Here is an 18,178-nt window from a genome sequence, read left to right as displayed (position 1 = left end):
CTCCCTTGTCTGATTTTGTTTCTTGAATCTATATAGGCAACAGCCTCAGATTCCAATCACCACAGGAACAGGTGTTGTGTATCCTGGTGCTATCACTATGGCAACTACCACACCATCGCCTCAGATGACATCTGACTGCTCTAGCACCTCGGCCAGCCCGGAGCCCAGCCTCCCGGTCATCCAGAGCACTTATGGTATGAAGACAGATGGCGGAAGCCTAGCTGGAAATGAAATGATCAATGGAGAGGATGAAATGGAAATGTATGATGACTATGAAGATGACCCCAAATCAGACTATAGCAGTGAAAATGAAGCCCCGGAGGCTGTCAGTGCCAACTGAGGAGTTTTTGTTTGCTGAATTAAAGTACTCTGACATTTCACCCCCCTCCCCAACAAAGAGTTATTAAAGAGCCCGCATGCATTTGTGGCTCCACAATTACATCAGCAGAATGGTCTTAATTGTTTCGTAAAGTGTGAGACAGATTAAGTTTTCCCTGATTTTTCATGAACTTGAGTTTTTTGTTGTTATTGTTATTGTTGTTGTTGTTGTTTTTTTAATTTAGGTGAAGACATATTAAATATGAGACACCAGGACTTGAAACTTATCTCAACCCGTAGATGTCTTACAAGTCTTATATTTTTGTCTTACTTTTTTTTTCTTTTGGATGTTGATAAAGGTTTAAGTTACTGTTTTAGATGGGGTTAAACATTCTCACTCAGGTATGCTGTGCCGGCCTACAGGTTGTGAATGTGTTTTTATTCTGAATTATTTTAGAAAACAACTGAGGATTTCATATTGTGAAACAGAACAAGTCCACGGCGTGTGCAGCTGCATGTAGAGCATATTCAAAAGGCCTCGGAATTCCAATTTTCCATTTGTAGAGTTAAACTTTGAATGTGCCAAACTTTTTCGTAACTTTTGAATCTTAATATTTTGAAAGTCTTAAAGGAGACACTGCAAAGTCTTAGACAATCTTTGGCATCTTAAAATAAAATAGCAAACCAACATTTTTTTTTCCAGAAAATGGTAAGGTACTCAGGAATCTGGAGACAAGATATTGTAAGGAATGAACAAGGTTGCCACAGTGCATGGACCCAATTGTGTTTGCCTGTTGACGTGCCATCAGTGCGTGATGTGGTATGACATACACACACCAGAGCAACCGCCACACCAGATATCGACAGAGTGGTCTTCTCTGCCTGAGACCACCTCTCACTACATCCATTATCCCTTTGCCTTTAACCCTGACATTCAGTCTTAACACATTTTATCTTAAATAATTTATTCATTCCAGAATGTCAAGGGTCCACTTGCTATTTATTTTTTTTCAATTGTTGGTGGCATTAATTTAATAATTCTTGTTTTTCACCTTCCTTCCCCGAAGAACTTTTCCGTCCTTTTCACCTCCTTCTCCTGTGTACATAGTGATTTTATGTCCCCAGAACGCCTGGAAGCATTTCTGAAACCAAGATATTATTAAAAACCTATTATTGTTTTTAATCATGAGTATGTATCTGGCTGCAGGGCTGTGTATTGGGATATAGGTATATAGTCTTACACTTAAACAGGTATGCCCCTGAGGTTCACTGTGACCTCAAGTCTTTTGCCAGAATTTTCCCCTAATTCAGTTCACAAGTGGTAGGGTCTGCATCAGTGGCATTTCCCCCTGAATTCCATTCAGCAGCAAGGTTCAACAGTGGTGACTGCCAGGCAGGAGAGTCCTGCGGCCAAACCTGAAGCCCAAGGCTCGTGGGCCATGCAGGAATCTCAGTGAAGCTGTCATGGGCTGGCACCTTTACACTGAGTTGCCTTGTCCCAGCTGGCACATCTAGGGAGTTCATTGCAAAATCCCCAGGATGCAAAAAGCCACATGACAGCCTCAGAGCAAAGATGGTGGCAAATAGTCATGATACATCTAGAGAATGAAAGAAAACTGTAAGGGAGGAGAAGGAGGGGAATACATTCCCTATATGGGATGTTCCTACTGTTAACTCTGGGGAACAGATAGCTCCGGGGGCAGCAGATGAGTTCCTCTGGCTGACTCTATCTGTAGCCACATGGGGACCTGCCTACGTGTGAACAAAATGAACTGCACTTATCACACAAGGATTTCTTTGAAGACATGCTACTGGGGTGGGAAGCAGTGAGGTTTTATTCCCCATCTCCTAACTACAGGGAGCTCTGCCATGTCATTTTGGCCTTCCTGAAACTAGGACAGGTTGTCTATCGGGGGGCTTCCCCCAGAGAGGTTTAGTGGGAGAATGTCAGTGAATGGGATAGTTCACCTCATGGGACAACCCAGAATCTGATCACCAGGACATAGGAATGGCCCCATCAGATTTCTTGAGCCATTTTGTCACTTGGAAGAAAATAGTGTACCTTTGTATTTATTTAAGAGTGCTCAAGGCCTAATAGCAATAAACAGGTCTAGCCAAGAAATTACAAGCTATTCTGTTAGCTGGGAGTGCTCTCTATAAGCTGATTAAGGTACTGATAGGAACTCTTTGTTATTCATGTTGGTTGGGGATTAGAAATTTGTTTTTGTACATTTATTTCAAATGAGGAGGAGGTCATTTTTTCTCTCAAAAAATGAGTATTTATTATTGTCTTACTGATTTCTTTGATTATATACCTCTCCTCCTCAGTTCACTCTTGTTTTTTTTCTTTCTCTTTGGCTTTTGCTTTTGCTCTCTCTCACTTCTTTCTTATTTTGTTGCATTGGTAGAGTGTTGTATGGCTAGCATTGTATTGTATGTAATTAATTTTGCACAAAAGCAAACATTTAGCATAGTAGGTTAATTTTGTTTGTTTTTATGACCATGCCAAAATAATATTCTGGGCTGGTGGAGAACAAAGGACTGTTCTTTAGGACTGAAACTTGATTTTGCTCATAGTAAGTAAAAAAAAACAAAAAACACACACACTCACAGATGTTGTTTCGTAAGTGTTATAAGCACTGGATATAAATGGTATTTTTTATCACTTCTGACTAATGTGAAACTGTTGTACGAAAACTACATGAACAAAAGTCATCTGTTTCGACTCGTGTGGGCTTGCCTCACAGTTGCCGGATTTGAGTCATTTTTATGTCTTGTTATTTCATTTATTTATGCAAAATACATGTGTGTATGAACACTTTGTTTTAGCTCCAGCTCTGCCTCAGTACTGGGGTTCATTTACTTTTAGCCATGTTCTTAAAAATGAAAGGCTATTCAGGAATGATCTGATTGTAAACGTCTTTTTCATTGGATCAAACAGTAATGCTGTATTTGAATCTAAATTTTGTGTATAAGCAGTTTATTTATTAGCCAAGTTTGGCTCTAAATATCCATGGAAATTAAGAATGACAATCATAGGGATCAATTCATTTTATTTTCAGTGGGGCTTAAACAAAGTTTATATGACTTTACCATCTCATTTTAGATTTTTCTAATTGTGTAAATATAACATAGAAATAGAATTTATTTTTGGTTCATGAATACTTAGTGAGATATAAGTTATGTATTTCCTTTTTGTTCTCTATCCATAGATGTTGGTCCAAACTGAAAGTTGATGAGTCACTGTGCCTCTCGGGGTAGTGAGTTATCAGCTACAGTGAGAGAGCAGTGTTTGGCCTGCAGCTGGGACAGCAAAACGTTTCACCAGGGTTCTCATGCAGTTCAGAACCCACTGTCCACAGATCCAGACATTTCCCTTTTTTCTTACAGAAAGTTGATGATTGGACATACTAAATTTCCACTACAGTTAGGAGACAGTCAGTTTGCTTTGGGAGTCTACATAAATCTTCTAAGATAGTTCTGTGACCATTTAATAGCAAGAAGCATGAATGCCACTACAAAGGCAAAAATCCACCTCTGAGATCGGCCGTTAATAAACGTCCCGTCATGTCAGTTTAGATTCAAGAATGTTAAGCAACTTTGTTTTTGCGGTGCTCCCTATTTCATAGTATCTTCAAATCAAAAATAAAAATTATCTCCATTTTGTTAAAGAACTTACAGGGTCAGGGTTCTCCTTGTCACTTAGAATTGGGACACTGCCAGGCAATCCTCTCCCAAAAAAAAAAAAAAAAAAAAATAGCCATATGGAATGGAAGGAAAAGGAGAAAAGAAGGAAGAAAGGAAAAAAGTAGGAAGGGAGAGAGAAAAAAAAGGTCGCTTTGCGGATACGAGCCGCTAGGCTGACAACTTTTCTATTTCATTGGCAGATATGAAGCAGTGTCTTTTCCAGTAAGGTACGGAAGCTTTGTTGTTTTCATGTGTACCCAGCTCAGCCTTTTAGAAGCACCTCGGTTTGCTTCATTAGGTATTTGATACTCTCCAGCCTTGTCCTCAGGCCTGATTTGATTTGCCAGGGTCCTGACACCAAAGCCCAGGCCAAGTTCTAAATTCAGGTGTGGGCTCACAGTGCTATTGAGCTTGTCGAATTCTGGCCTCCCCTGAACATTAGCCCCACGGGAGCCTGAGGGTGTTTGAAAAGGGCGTGATCACTCTAGGGCTGAAATTAAAGGCTGCTTTCTTTTCCTTCTGAAGCCAGGCTGCTTCTTCGGAGTACACCCTCCTGAGCCAGGAGCACAAGCACTAGCAGAAAGCAGGGATTGTTTCAGGAAAGCCCATTTACCCTCAGTAGGAAGGCAGCCTGGTCACTTGAACAGCACAGCTGAGGCTGCTTCTCTCAATTTACTCATTTTGCAAAGAATTGACCTCTACCAACTCATTAGGGAGAGGAAAAAGAATCACTTAGTAATTTTAAATCATATGAGAAGTCCTGTACCAAGTGCCAACAACTGCAAAGAAATGCAGCTAGAGGAATGTATTGAAATTACTACTGGGTCTTCCTTTTTAATGAGAAAATGACAAAAATGGTTGCTGTAGCCCTGCCTGATTTTGTACACGTTTGTCTAAGAATTGAGTTGGCACTTAAGCTCACTTCTCAAAGTATAATAATATTGTATGACCTCATTTGTCCTTTCACAAAAGCACTTGCATCATTTCCTTAAGTCATCTGCTCCCTGACATGTTTTCTTCCCTAATAAACAACTTCTGTCTGTTATTCCTGCCAATGATGTTCTGTTTCTGATGCCATATCCTATTGAGCGTGCCCCTGTACTAATATCATTGAAAATATTGATATGCAAACACATTTCCTTTTCATCCCCATTCTATCTTTCCCTTTGGGGACAGATTGCTTTCCAAAAGCTCATGAACAAATATTTGGAATGCTGGTACCTTTGGGGCAGAGGTAAGGGTGGGCGGGGTGGGGGCAGAAAGGTAATGCTTAATGCAGATAACTCTTCTAATCAGTGTCCATGGCAATATGAACGCTTGAAGAAAACTCAGTGACATATCTTGCTCAGTAGTTTCTTATTCCTGAAGAACCACAAGCATAAAGTGAGGCCTCAGTGCTGGTGCTCTTGGAGTATGGGGAATGTGCAAATATTTAACTGTTTTGTATGCTGCACATTGCAGGTCTGCTCATGTGCATTCTCCCTTTGTCTTCCTTTGTCATATGTGTTTTTGCTTTTTTGAAAGTGCAGTCTTTATTGTACCCTCCTCCAGCTTGTAGCAAATTAGAATGCTTAGCATTTATGTTCATTCATTATTGTATTTGCCATGTAAAATTTTTATTACCTTAGACAAGCTTATAAGCTGTTACTACATAACTTATCTTACTGTAACTCTTTTATTTCCCCCGACGTTGTAATTTGTTTGTGATGTATATTGTGAAATTGTATTCTATGTTAATTTAATCAGCACAATTCACTGACATGCTGGACTGACATGCTGGCTGCTGTTTCAAAGTGTAAAGTTTGTGTAGGGCTGTTGGGACAACTGCAACTCTGTTGTCAAGGTACTGTGCTTTGGTTCCTATAGCAACACTGGGTGTGGCCCTTGAATTGCTAAGGGCATTTAATACATCCTGGAGCAAATTTTAACTGCAGATTTTCTTTGTAGAAATTCTATGTATAATGCAGGTACCTACTTGGCCCATGGCTGGTAACTATTTGGGCAATTAGAAAAAAAGAAAAAAACATAAAAACTAGTGTCTATTGCTGCTTTGAATATGTTTGAAAGTCTGAAAATGTAAATAGTTTATCAAAAAAAAATCTTGTACAGTCCAGTGTAAAGTTTTTAAATGACCTTAAGGGTTGCCATCACATCTTTCTCACACTCTCCTCTTGATAATAATAATAATAAAAAGTTTGCTAAGGATTAAAGAAATGGGAAAAATAAAAAAAATCTCTTCAAATTTACAGGAATGAATCATTGTTCTTAGCTTTGTTGCATACACAAACTTCTTGGATTTTGTTGTGCAGTATTGACGTGAGATAAAGCTCAACATTGAATAATCTTTCAGTGGTACTTTTCAAAGTCTTCCCCTCCTCTGCCTCATAATTAAGGGAAAAGACAAAATTGAAAGACACACTGTCTTTATCTATCCTGGTGTATGTTGGCACCTTAGCTACTTTTTTTTTTTCCTTTTTGCACAAGGTGCTTTCCTGATATGTTCAACATGCCATCTTTGGGTGATAATGTATATGCCGTGATGGGGCTCAGGCCCCTTAGGGGAGTGTCTATAAGAACTGCCTATTTATGCTCATTTACCTCAAGACTGTCCTCTCTACCCTAATCTAGTTGTCATCACTCCATCTTTTGTACTGCTGTTGACACTTACAAATTAAAGATAAATTTTGTTTTATGACCTCTGTGTATGGCCTTGTCTGTGCCCTGCAAACTGTCCCCACCATGGGGCCCCAGCCAGCCCTGAATGTGCCACCCTCTTGCTGCTGGAGCCTGCAGAGCTCTCCTGCCCTCTGCCATTGCTTCTGCCTGGCCCAAGGGTAGGTCTCTGAAAGACATGGAACCCCTTAGCCTGGAAAGACTTGCCTGCTCTTTTCGTTGTGGAGCACACCTGGCTGCAGCAGGAAATACTTGTGGATTTAGAAGGGAGGAACGGGATACAAGGTGGATTTTTGTCAAGAGAAGATAAGAGAGCATGGCATTGCCTCTTTACCTGACTTCTTCGTGTCAGTGAAACAGCTTAGAGCCTTTTGGAGTATGAACAACTCTCAAGGGCCAGCCTCTCATCTGACGCCACCTTCTACGAGCCTAGCAGCCAAGAGTGGAAAATGCTGCACTTATGGAACCTTTCCCTCCACTGTGGTTGGCAGTAGTTGGCTGATTACTCAGTACCTTCTGCCTCAGAGAAGAAAGAGCCCATCTTTTTGTCCAGCAATGAGTTGCATCCAGAGTGAAACTCGGTTCCCAGTGATATCAGCTTCTAAAATGTTGCCAAAGCTATTTCATTGTGCTGAGTCTGAGTGGGGACGGAAGGTGGGTAGTGGGGTGAAGTGAGCAGGGCCCTTAAGGGAGACTTGCCACACCAGCCAAGCCAGTCCTGTGAGTCTAGAGATGAGTAACCAACACCTAGAGAGTGAAACAAAAGTGTTCAAGAGAGAGGAGAGGCCCAGCCACTCCTTTTGATATTTCCTATTAAAAAATGCCTCAGGAAAAATAAATCCAAGAATATGTGGGACTGACTTTATTCCAGTCACATTGCAAGTTAGACGCAGGCTCCTGTAAGTTCTGAAAATCTAGCATTCCGGGACCTCCCTCTTGCCCCATGGCTTTTTAAAAGCCCAGGTAAGTACAGGACATTGGAAAGAACAGGGACTTTGGAGTCACACCAGCCTGGCTCTGCCACCTGCCAGCTGCGTGACCTTCCCTGAATAACACCTCTGAGCCACAATCCTCTCTATAAAATGGGGTAACAATTCTTACCTGTCAGGGTGCTGGGAGAATGAAAAGAAACAGCAGGGGTAAGACATCCAGGAGTGGATGGCACACAGAGGGCATGAATGCCCACTGCCTCCTCTGACCAGAAAATGCCTAAGCTAGGGAGGTTGGCTGGTGTTACCACTGAGTAAAGTGAAGGAGGTGCCTGAGGCCTTCTCTCAGAGCCTGGTCGCATACATACCTCAGGGCCCTCCCTCTAAGCTAGTCTCCAAGCCACAGGTTTTCTCACTCCCAGCTCATCCTTGCCATTGCTGCAGGTCTTCTTTCTAAGCCTGTCCCCTCTCATCCTTCTCTAAAACCTTCTGGCTTTCTGCTGCTGACTAGATAAAGTCCCAACTTCCTGCCCTGTCAGCCAAGCCTCCACAGACCTGCCAGCCCCATGTTCCACCGTGACCCCACACACCTTCCATGCTCTCTGCTGCTCTCACACCCCCAGCCTGTCCACCACTCTGGGGCTTTTACTTCTCCTTTAGCCTGGAAGGAATCTGTCCCCTTCTCTGTTTGGGAAATTCGCAGTTATCTTTCAGAAGCCACCCAATATCACCACTTCCTGAGACCTTCTTGGCCCCCTGGTTTCAAGCTCTCCCTACGGAGAAAGCAAAGAGCTCTTTGAAAGAATCTCACGATGAGCACATTGTAATGATTTGTCTCTGTGTCTGTCTTCCCTGCTAGACGACAAACTGCTGAAACCAAAAACTGTACCTTGGCCTGCCCTGCCCCCAACACAGTGCTTGGCACATAGTAAGTGCTCTACACTTGTTTGTGGAAGGAATGTATGAGGGATTGCAACTTGGTCTCCCTGTGTGTTTTAGATGCCTGTGAATATCGGGGTCTCAGGTGGTGAGGCTGAGGGATCTTGTAGGTGTACCTTGGTATTACTTACTTCATTTGGAGAACGTTATTAGTTAAAAACATCTCTATTCATATTGGGAGAGCCATTTTTCAAGTTGGCATGACAAGCACAAGGCACTGAGAGTCTCTATGCTTTTAGGATGACTCACTGCAGAATGCCTGAGCCTCTGAACCCAGAGCCACGGCTCTATTCTTCCTCCTAGGCATCCTGGCTGAAGTATGAAAAGGACAGACTAGGAAGGGGAAGTGTTTATCAGTTTTCCTTACCTTTTACCTTGACATCCCAGATACGCAAGATTACCCTACAGTCTGCTCAGAGACAAGGGGTTCTTGGAGGCTTGACCTCTGGGCCTCCATCATGGAAAGGGAAGGAGACCAGCTGCCTCTGCCTGCTGTGGAGAGCCAGGGCAGTGATCCCACGAGGCTGCAATGTGGACAGCTGTTCACTTAGTGTCCGTTCCTTCCTCTTTGGTCCAGGTAATGACTCCTTCTCTCAGTAGTGCTCTAGAGCCTTGCTGGCTCAAAGTATGGCTCACAGATCAGCAGTTACAGCATCACCTAAGGCATATTAAAGTATGGGCTAATGTGGCATGGGCTATACTGAGTAGAAAGCTCCTAGCAGTTGAGACTCCATGAACTGTCATCTACGTCCTCTAAGTCAATGACACATCATATGTGAGATAGGATTTTCCTCATTTGAATTGTGAAGGCCCAGAGATAGGACATGACCCACCCAAAGTCACACACAGATTAAATGTCAGTGTGGTAACATGCACTTGTGTTTTCTAATTCTAAACACAGGTGAACGTGTTGCATATGACCTCACAATAGTCTGTGGAAATTGCTCATCACTGGAACAGCCCTGGATCTAGAGCTCAGTTATCACCAGGTGTCCTGGACTGTGTCACACTATGGGAGCACCAAGGCATCTAGGGGCAGTGGCCTCTGGCATCTCTGACTGTCATCCTCTACCCTGGCTGTGCCCAGTGCCTGGCCCACAAGAGACCCTGGATCAATAGGGTGGCTCTCTGGAGAGCTTGTTCAGAGCCCCCGCTGTTAGCTAGCCACCCAGTAATTTTTCCATTTTGACACCAGGATGAGTGGCCATGGAGTAGATCAATGAGAATATGTGTAGGTTCTGGGGGCCCCATTCCTGAGTCTGGGAGGAGGACACCCAGTGAAGAGAGTGATCAGGGAAGGTGTCTGAGCTAGTGTCACCCAGGGCTTCTAGGAACACGTGTGGATTGGTTATCCACTGGCTTCCTAAACTCACCCCGGGCAGGCACACTGACTCCCCAGCCTGTCTCCCCCACCACTGTCTCCCCTCAGCCACTAAAGACTGAGCACTGTCCCTGCCACCTGTTCGGATTGGTTTATCCACTACTACCAGCTGCCATTCCCACTTCCAGCTCTATCCTTTCCTCTCTGCTCCCAGAAGGATCTTCCTCTCATAGATGCAGGCAGGGCATGAAAGACACAAGATCAAGTCTACGCTGTTTGCATTCAGGCAACGGCCTTCCTGAAGCCCCCAGGTCCTGATCAGCCTTTCCAGTCCCATCTCCAGCAGGCTCCCCACACAGACACAGCACATTGCTTGCTGAGATCTGCACAGGCCACACACTGAAATATTTCCTGTGCCTGGAAGTCCCTCTCTCACTTCCACCAACCATCACAGCCCCATGCATTAAAGCCCAGCCCAAACGTCACCTTCCATGGGAAGCCTTCTCTCCACATTCCTCTTCTACCCTGAGAATGTGAATTGCACTGAAATTGTCTGATTGTATTTCATTATGGGTCACAATGAATCTGATTGTCACACTTTTTTATCCAACAGTCCTGGCACATAGTAGGTGCTTAATCAATGTGCATATTCTTTTTAAATTTTTTAAATGAACACTCCTGCTGTTCTACGTGTATGTTATTTTTTTAAAAAATGAAATAAATGAAGGAATGAATTCTTTCTACTTGAACTCAAAGTACTGCACACTCTGCCAATGGCTAGTTTTTCAGCCTGATCTTCTAACCCCACGGCTTCTAGCTCTCTAAACAGATCAGACTATTAATTTGAAACATGTTCTCCAACCTCTTTGGGCTTCAAGGGTCCCCTGTCTCAACTGCCTTTCCCCCATATCTGTCAATCATCATCTTCCCTTTCAGGTCCACCTGCTTCAACACCATACAAAATACTAAGAGTCTATCATGCAGCAAAAAATTTTATAAGCATTTCATTTGACCCCTAATAATGGCTCTGAACATTAAACATTGTTATTCCTGTTTTACAAAAGATTAAACTGAAACTCAGAGAAGTCAAGCCACTTGTTCAGGATCTCCCAGTGAGTCAGAATGTCTCCTTCTGCATGGACAAGCTGCTCTCAGGCCTCTCCAGCTCAGAATGAATCTCTTCTTCCTTCTAGTTTGGAGTTCCTCGGCCATTTTTTTTTTATTATCGCCACCTAAGGAAGCTTTTAAGACACTTTTTTCCTCCCAGTACTCCCAGTAGCCCTCCTCCCCCCATTAAATTGTAATATAATAGATTTACTATCTGCTTAAGTACTCTATGTATATCTGTGCTTTATTTTTTCAAAGTAAGATTTTTTTTAATCTCCTAAGAACAAATTTTTCTCCCTTATGGAAGGTGGCATTATCCTGTTGAAAATTCCTGTTCTATGGCTGGGCGCAGTGGCTCATGCCTGTGATCCCAGCACTTTGGGAGGCCGAGGCGGGCTGAGGTCAGGAGTTCAAGACCAGCCTGATCAACATGGAGAAACCTCATCTCTACTAAAAATGCAAAATTAGTCAGGCATAGTGGCACATGCCTGTAATTCCAGCTACTCGGGTGGCTGAGGCAGGAGGTTGAACCTGGAAGGCGGAGGTTGCAGGGAGCCTAGATTGCGCCATTGCACTCCAGCCTGGGCAACAAGAGCGAAACTCCATCTCAAATTAAAAAAAAACAAAAACAGAAAATGCATGCTCTATATCACCTTCTCTTTGAAGTGTGGCCCTTACCCTAGAGTTTGTAACTTGTTCCCCCCTCCACTGTGAGTTCTGTGTTCCAGGTACTGTGGCTTAGTAACAATTTCCCCAAAACTTAGTGACATAAAACCATTACTTACTCTATTCACAAATTCCGTGGGTTCACAAATTTCAGACAGGGTAAAGTGGGAGGCTTTTTCTCTTCTGCTTTGCAATGTCTGGGATCTCAGCTAGGACACTCCAAGACTGGGGCTGGAGCACACTGAACGCTCATTTCCTCTCGTGTTTGGCAGTCGATGCCAGCTGTTGGCTGGCACCCTAGCTGAGGCTGTTGGTTAGAACACCTACATGTGGCCTCTTAATGTGGCCTGGGCTGCCTCACAACATGGTGGCTGAGCATCAGGGGTGAGCAGCTGAGAGAAAAAGAGAGAGGGCCAAGTGGTGTCCTCTTTTACGGCCTGACCTTAAAGTCATGGAGCATCACTTCCACTATATTCTGTGTATCGACGCAGTTACAAATTCATGCCTAGTTCAAGGGAAGAGGAAGCCAACTCCACCTCTTGATTGGGGAATGATAAAGTTTTAAATATATATGGGACTGGATATGTTGCTGTGGTCATTTTGGGGAAGTACCGTCTGCTGTACTCTAATATCTGCTGATCTGCAACCCTTGTGCCCCACTCCCAACAACCACCCCATCTTCACATGGCCTTGCACACGGGGTAATGCTGATATACATGTCTGAAATTTATTTGGATGCTCTAAGTTGAGAGGATGAAGCCCCAGGCCTTGGTCCATTCCTGCCAATATCAATATGTGGTTAATATGGTCCAGAGATCCCTGGAGAGGCCAGATGTGGGCAAGAAGCTCACTGAGGCAGAAGGGTGCCCTAGAACAAATGGGAAGTGAGAACAAGCATTACAAGAAAGGTCCTGGTGTAAAGTGTTTGGATCTTTCTTTTTCCCCTCTCAAAAGCAGTTCAGTTATTTCTGGAAATGTTCAAACTAGTCATTTCCCATATATATATATATAGATAGACAGAGTGAGACACCCAGAGGAGTTGCAATAGAATTTGACTTATATTCTTTTTTTTTTTTTTTTTTTTTTTTTGTAGAGACGGAGTCTCGCTCTGTCGCTCAGCCTGGAGTGCAGTGGCGTGATCTCGGTTTGCTGCAATCTCTGCCTCCTAGGTTCAAGTGATTCTCCTGCCTCAGCCTCCCAAGTAGCTGGGACTACAGGCGCATGCTGCCATGCCCGGCTAATTTCTTTTGTATTTTAGTAGAGACAGGGTTTCCCGTGTTTCCCAAATGAGACTATCAATGAAACTAATGTTGTCACTAATCAGCAAAATACCAGTCAACTCCCATTTGGCAATATGCTACCTGTATTGATATTTCTGTCAACACCACTGCCATCCATACAGCACAGCATGTTTTAAAATGGCAATAATCTGTACAAGGAGCCATAATCTATACACAAAAATAATTTCACATTTTTCAAGCTCAGGAAATATTAGCTTAATGTTCTAAGAGTCCCTAATATGATCTATGTCATCAATTAAACTCAAAAAGTTTTACTGGGAAAAACAGAAACAACCTATTCAGTTTCTGACTTTGGGTTAACATTAATCAGCTAATGCATATTATCATAGGTACCCAAACTAGATCTGTAGAAGCAAGGACAATTATGAGTGCCTTTTTTATTTGAATCATTTATTATTTTATTTTAAATTACTATTACATATTAATTTCATAAAAACTCATTATTACCATTATAAGTGTTATTAGAGTGAAAAGGATAAATGAACTGTGATCCTTATTATGAAATGCCAAGTATAGAATTTAGATGTATTTTTGGAAATAAAAGAAGCACTGATGTTATTAATGAATAACACAGACAGGTAGGAAAGTTAGGCCGAGAAAAAAACAAAACAAAATAAAACAGCAAAGAAGAACAATCAAGATACTGATCCATCGATGAGCCCATTGTTCTCCTGTGCTGTAGCATTACACGGACCTGATTGACACTTGAGTTAGAATATATTTAATTGCGAAAAGTACTCTTATGTTCTATATTTGGATAAAAGTCCATATGAAATCACTTAAGTGCATTTATTGTACATGTTAAATAAATTAATTCACTTAGAAAAGGTACTTGTTTATAAATATTGTAAATAACAATACTTGCTAAATATATAGGTTTGAGCCACTGGAGAAATGAGAACTAAATTCCCAAGCATCCATCTCTCCTTAGGTCTGGGGCTGGGGCACTTCTGCTTCTCCACCTGCAGAGGTAACTGGGACCCTCCACAGATGCCAGGAAGGCAGGTAGTGGACATGCTGCTGTATTGTTGGACAAGCACACTAGCCCTGGACAGAGCTGTGGAAAACACAAGTGGTTCTGGACCTTAAACTGGGTGAGATAAGACATACCAAGGGATAATGGCTATAAACACGGCCCAAGAAACTGGATCATTTTTCAGGCTGTTGAATTTCAAATGCCTGCCAAACAAAGTGTAATATCTGGGACTCTCTTTTTGCAATTCTACTGCAAGAGGTGGCATAAGTCCAATTAATTTAAACAAGAAAATCAGAACAATGAGGACCAGAAGAGTTAAAATGTCCAATCAAAACTTGGAATTAAAGTTAATTTCACAAATTTTAATGATAGTAGGAGGAAATTAAATTTAACCCTATATTTCAGTCAATGCCACAATAATGATAGACTAAAGACGATTGGATGTTGATTAATTTCTCTACTGCAGTCCTAGGATTTAGAATACTCAGGTGAATTACATTCATTTTTCTGATTGGCTGTCTGGGGATGGGTAATTCAGAGTTGAAGACACCTGGGAAGCCTCTCTTCCAAATAAAACAAAATAAAACCACACAAAGCATTGGTGAAGTCAATTGCTGCATTATTTACTTTATTGGTTATAAATGACTGAAACCCAATTTAAATGGCTTATGCAGCTAAGAGGGACTTAGTGGCTTACATAACTGAAAAAGTGCAAGGATAGCATGGCTTCAGGCCTGGCTGAGTGCAGGTGTTCAAGGCTGAGTTTCTGTCTCTTCTCTGCCCTGGTTGGCTTTGCTCCTAGGTTGTCTCTATCCATGAGACATCCCTCTGCAGATCCAGACTGCAGCTTTCAATTCAACAGAAAGAACTTCTCTTACAAGTTTCCTACAAACATATCTGAATTGAGTCTTCTTATCCTGGCTTGGATCACATGATCATTGCTGAACAAATCACTGTAGCCCAGGAAATGCAATAAGATCAATGCCCTTACCAACCACCATCAAATGACATAGGCTGAGTAGATAAAGGTTAATTGCCCTAAAGGAAAATCAGTCCTCCAGAAGGAGGAGAAATGGGTGCTGGGCAGCACGTTTCTGAAGTCCTGCATGGAATAGGCTTTATGTAAAATCAGTTGGAAAGCCAGGCAGAAGAGATGCTGATCACAGCCCAAGTGACCCTGTGGCCATGTGGAGACTCCTGCATCATTGCTAGCCTGGTTCTAGCTCTGTTTAATCTTTAGATCTTTAGTGGACTAGAACTAACCTTCAACTGCTGGTTCATGGCAATTTTCACATGGCATTGTCATTCTTCAACGTGTCTACTTTCCCACTAGAGAGTGGACAAATCCTGAGGTCAAAGTCTTGTCTTTCCCACTTTGGCACCAGCAGATGGCTGGTACAAACCAGATGCTCACTGAATCTGTGTTTAATAGACGGATGATTCTAGGGCCTTTGCTGCTATGACTGAGACTAAAATTCTCAGATTAGACCTTGACTTTTCTTGCATGAAAAGAATACCCTTCTAGAGCTTCAGCAGCATCGTGACCTTAGGCTTTCTCTTCCTCCTCTTCCTCTTCCTCCCTTTTCATTTTTCTTGTTTACTATTACATAGCTGTGAATCCTAGGGAGGGCCCATCCCCTCTGTCTCACCTATCAGTCACTCAGAGAACATGAGTTCCCCATGAGGGACGCCAAAAAAGCCACAACATCTTAAAGCAGGGGACAGCAAACTACGGTCCAAGAATCCACTCCACCCCAGCACCCACTTTTTAAATAAAGTTTTATTGGAACACAGCTACAAATGCATTGTCTACTACTGCTTTTGCACCACAATGGCAGAGTGGAGTGGCTGTGACAGGAGCTGTATAACACACTGATATGGTTTGTCTCTTTGTCCCCTCTCAGATCTCATGTTGAATTATAATCCCCAATGTTGGAGGAGGGACCTGGTGGGAGGTGATTTGATCATGGGGGTGGATTTCCCCTTTGCTGTTCTCATGATAGTGAGTTCGTTCTCATGAGATCTGGCTGTTTGAAAGTGTGTAGCACTTCTCCCTTCATGCTCTGTCTCTCCCCTGCCACCATGTGAAGACATGCTTGCTTCCCCTTCACCCTTCCACCATGATTGTAAGTTTACTGAGGCCTCCCCAGCCATGCCCCCTGTACAGCCTGTGGAACTATAAGTCAATTAAACCTCTTTTCTTTATAAATTACCCAGTCTCAGGTAGTTCTTTATAGCAGTGTGAGAATGGACTAATACACCCACAAAGCCTAAGATAATTACTAGCAGGCCCTTTATTTAAAAAGTTCAGAAACTTTTTAAATAAAGTTTATTTAAAAACTTTATTAAAGTTGTGCCCTCGAGGGCTGGGCACAACACATCTCTTGTATGTGTGTCATGGGCCACCACAGGTTTCAGGTGTGTCCCTGGTTGGGGAGAGGGTGGTGGGGGTGGGCTGAATTGCTCCTGATCTTTGAGCAGTTGCTAGTGCTCATGAAAACTGAGATTATTGAGTGAACAAGGAGATTCTGGGACAGGCCAGGTATGGAAACAAGCTGCCCAAACTCCATAATACATGGGATGAGGAAGAGCAAATCCTGAGGTACCTTAGAAAGTCTCACAGCCCACTTTAATTCTGGGTCCGCCTATTGAGAAGCCTTGGATTAAAGCAGAAGTTCTCAAGCGTGACTGCATTTTGAAATCACCTGGGATGCTTTAAATTCTTTAAATCCTGTGGAGCTTTAAATACTTGAAATCTCTAAAAAGTATGATTTAATTGGTCTGGGATCTGACACAGGCTTTGGGATTTTAAAAAGAACCCTACTCTCCAGGTGATTCAAGTGGCAGTTAAAATTGAGAACCATAGGGCCAGTGGCTAGCGGATCTGGGAGATAAGAAGGTGGTGCCAATCTGGAGGAAGCAGGCAAGAATGAAAACGATGCCGGTTTCAGACTTTGGCAAACTGGGAATTCTGACTCCACACCTAAGCTGCTGTGTGTTGGTCAGCTCATCATGTAACCACTCTGAGCCTCATCTTCAGTATCTGTAAAATAGAAATAAGAATACTTCCCTCACAGTGTTGTTATGAGGATTATGTGAAATTAGCTATTTATTTGTTTATTCTAGAAAACTAACTGAGATGCCTACTATATGTCTGACATTGTTCAAAGCCCTGGATAATACATCTGTGAAGAAAACAGACCAAGGTGCTTGCTGTCCTGGAGCTGACACCATGGTGGGAAAGCCAGACACTAAATAAAGGGATAACATAATTTCAGAGAATAAGGAATGTCATGAAAAAAGGCAATGCAGAATGGTGGCATGAGAGGGACTGGGATGGGGCTATCTTGAAAGGATGACCATGGAATTTTCTCCGAGGAAGTGACATTTGGGCAACAGTCTGAATGATGAGAAAGATCCAGTCATGCAAAAAGAATTCCGGGCTGAAGCAGCAGCACATTTAACAAACTTCATGATGGGAGAGGAGGGTAGAGATTCCTATTCCAGGAACAGAAGAAGTACCAGTGTCCTTGGAGCACAGGGCATTGGGAGAGCCAGATTTAGTAGAACACTTGTAGGCCTTGCTAAAAAGTCTCACTCTTCTTCCCCCAACTGCAGTGGTAACCAATAAGATGATTTTAAGCAGGAGAGTGATATGGTCTGTTACAGGGATTTTTGAAAGACTCTGTGGTTGCTGGGAAGCAATAGATTCTAATGTACACATAACGAGTATAGTGAGTATTTTTTATTGTTTATTCAGAACATATTTACTAAGCATCAAAAATAGGCTAGGTAGTAGACAAAAGAAAACAGCTAATGCTATACAGAGTCTTGTGGAGTATTTTTATCATTTGTTTTTTACTTTTATCAAAACTACTCATGAACATGATTTTAAAAGTCAAATAGTTATACAGCACTTTTTGCAAAAAAAAGAGCAATCCCTCTATTTCTCCACTTACTATCTCCACTTCTTCATAAAAACACTTTCATGTCTTTTAGCTGGTTTCTAAGATATTTCCTGCCAACTGTCCCTCCCTATCTCCCGTACAATATCTTTAAATAAATGTCTTTTAAAGTTGCTTCCTAACTTTTGAGTTTTAAGAAATAATGACAGATTTCCTGCTATATACCCTCACTTTGCATACCTACTTTGTAATCATAGTTCACAGGTGAGGCATTATATTAGTCTGTTCTCATGCTGCTAATAAAGACATACCCAAGACTGGGTAATTTATAAAGGAAAGAGATTTAATTGACTCAC

The 18,178-nt window shown here is 42.3% G+C and overlaps 1 protein-coding gene and 1 non-coding gene across 7 annotated transcripts in view, besides 1 other annotated feature; both read left to right on the top strand.

Annotated features, from left to right (window-relative positions):
- The window catches only part of SOX6 (SRY-box transcription factor 6), a 772,029-nt gene extending 765,329 nt beyond the window's left edge, over positions 1–6,700 (top strand). For all 6 annotated transcript variants that reach the window (NM_001367872.1, NM_033326.3, NM_001145811.2 and 3 more), the window contains one exon: positions 37–6,700. In NM_001367872.1, the coding sequence (NP_001354801.1) occupies positions 37–340 (304 nt within the window). In that variant the 3' untranslated portion in view covers positions 341–6,700. The remainder of the gene's footprint in view (positions 1–36) is intronic.
- Positions 3,528–3,616, top strand: MIR6073 (microRNA 6073). The gene has a single exon (NR_106721.1). It is a non-coding gene; the product is annotated as a microRNA 6073 (primary transcript).
- Positions 7,143–7,292: an enhancer, noted in NCBI's record as "active region_4479". NCBI's record gives its function as "activates an Ori minimal core promoter by ATAC-STARR-seq in GM12878 lymphoblastoid cells {active_cell/tissue: GM12878}" and the evidence as "EXISTENCE:reporter gene assay evidence [ECO:0000049][PMID:35858748]".

The sequence above is a fragment of the Homo sapiens genome, chromosome 11 (genome assembly GCF_000001405.40).
Source record: "Homo sapiens chromosome 11, GRCh38.p14 Primary Assembly".
Lineage (NCBI taxonomy): Eukaryota > Metazoa > Chordata > Mammalia > Primates > Hominidae > Homo > Homo sapiens.
The sequence above is the reverse complement of the archived record's forward strand: the minus strand, read 5'-3'. Positions and strand labels throughout refer to the sequence as shown.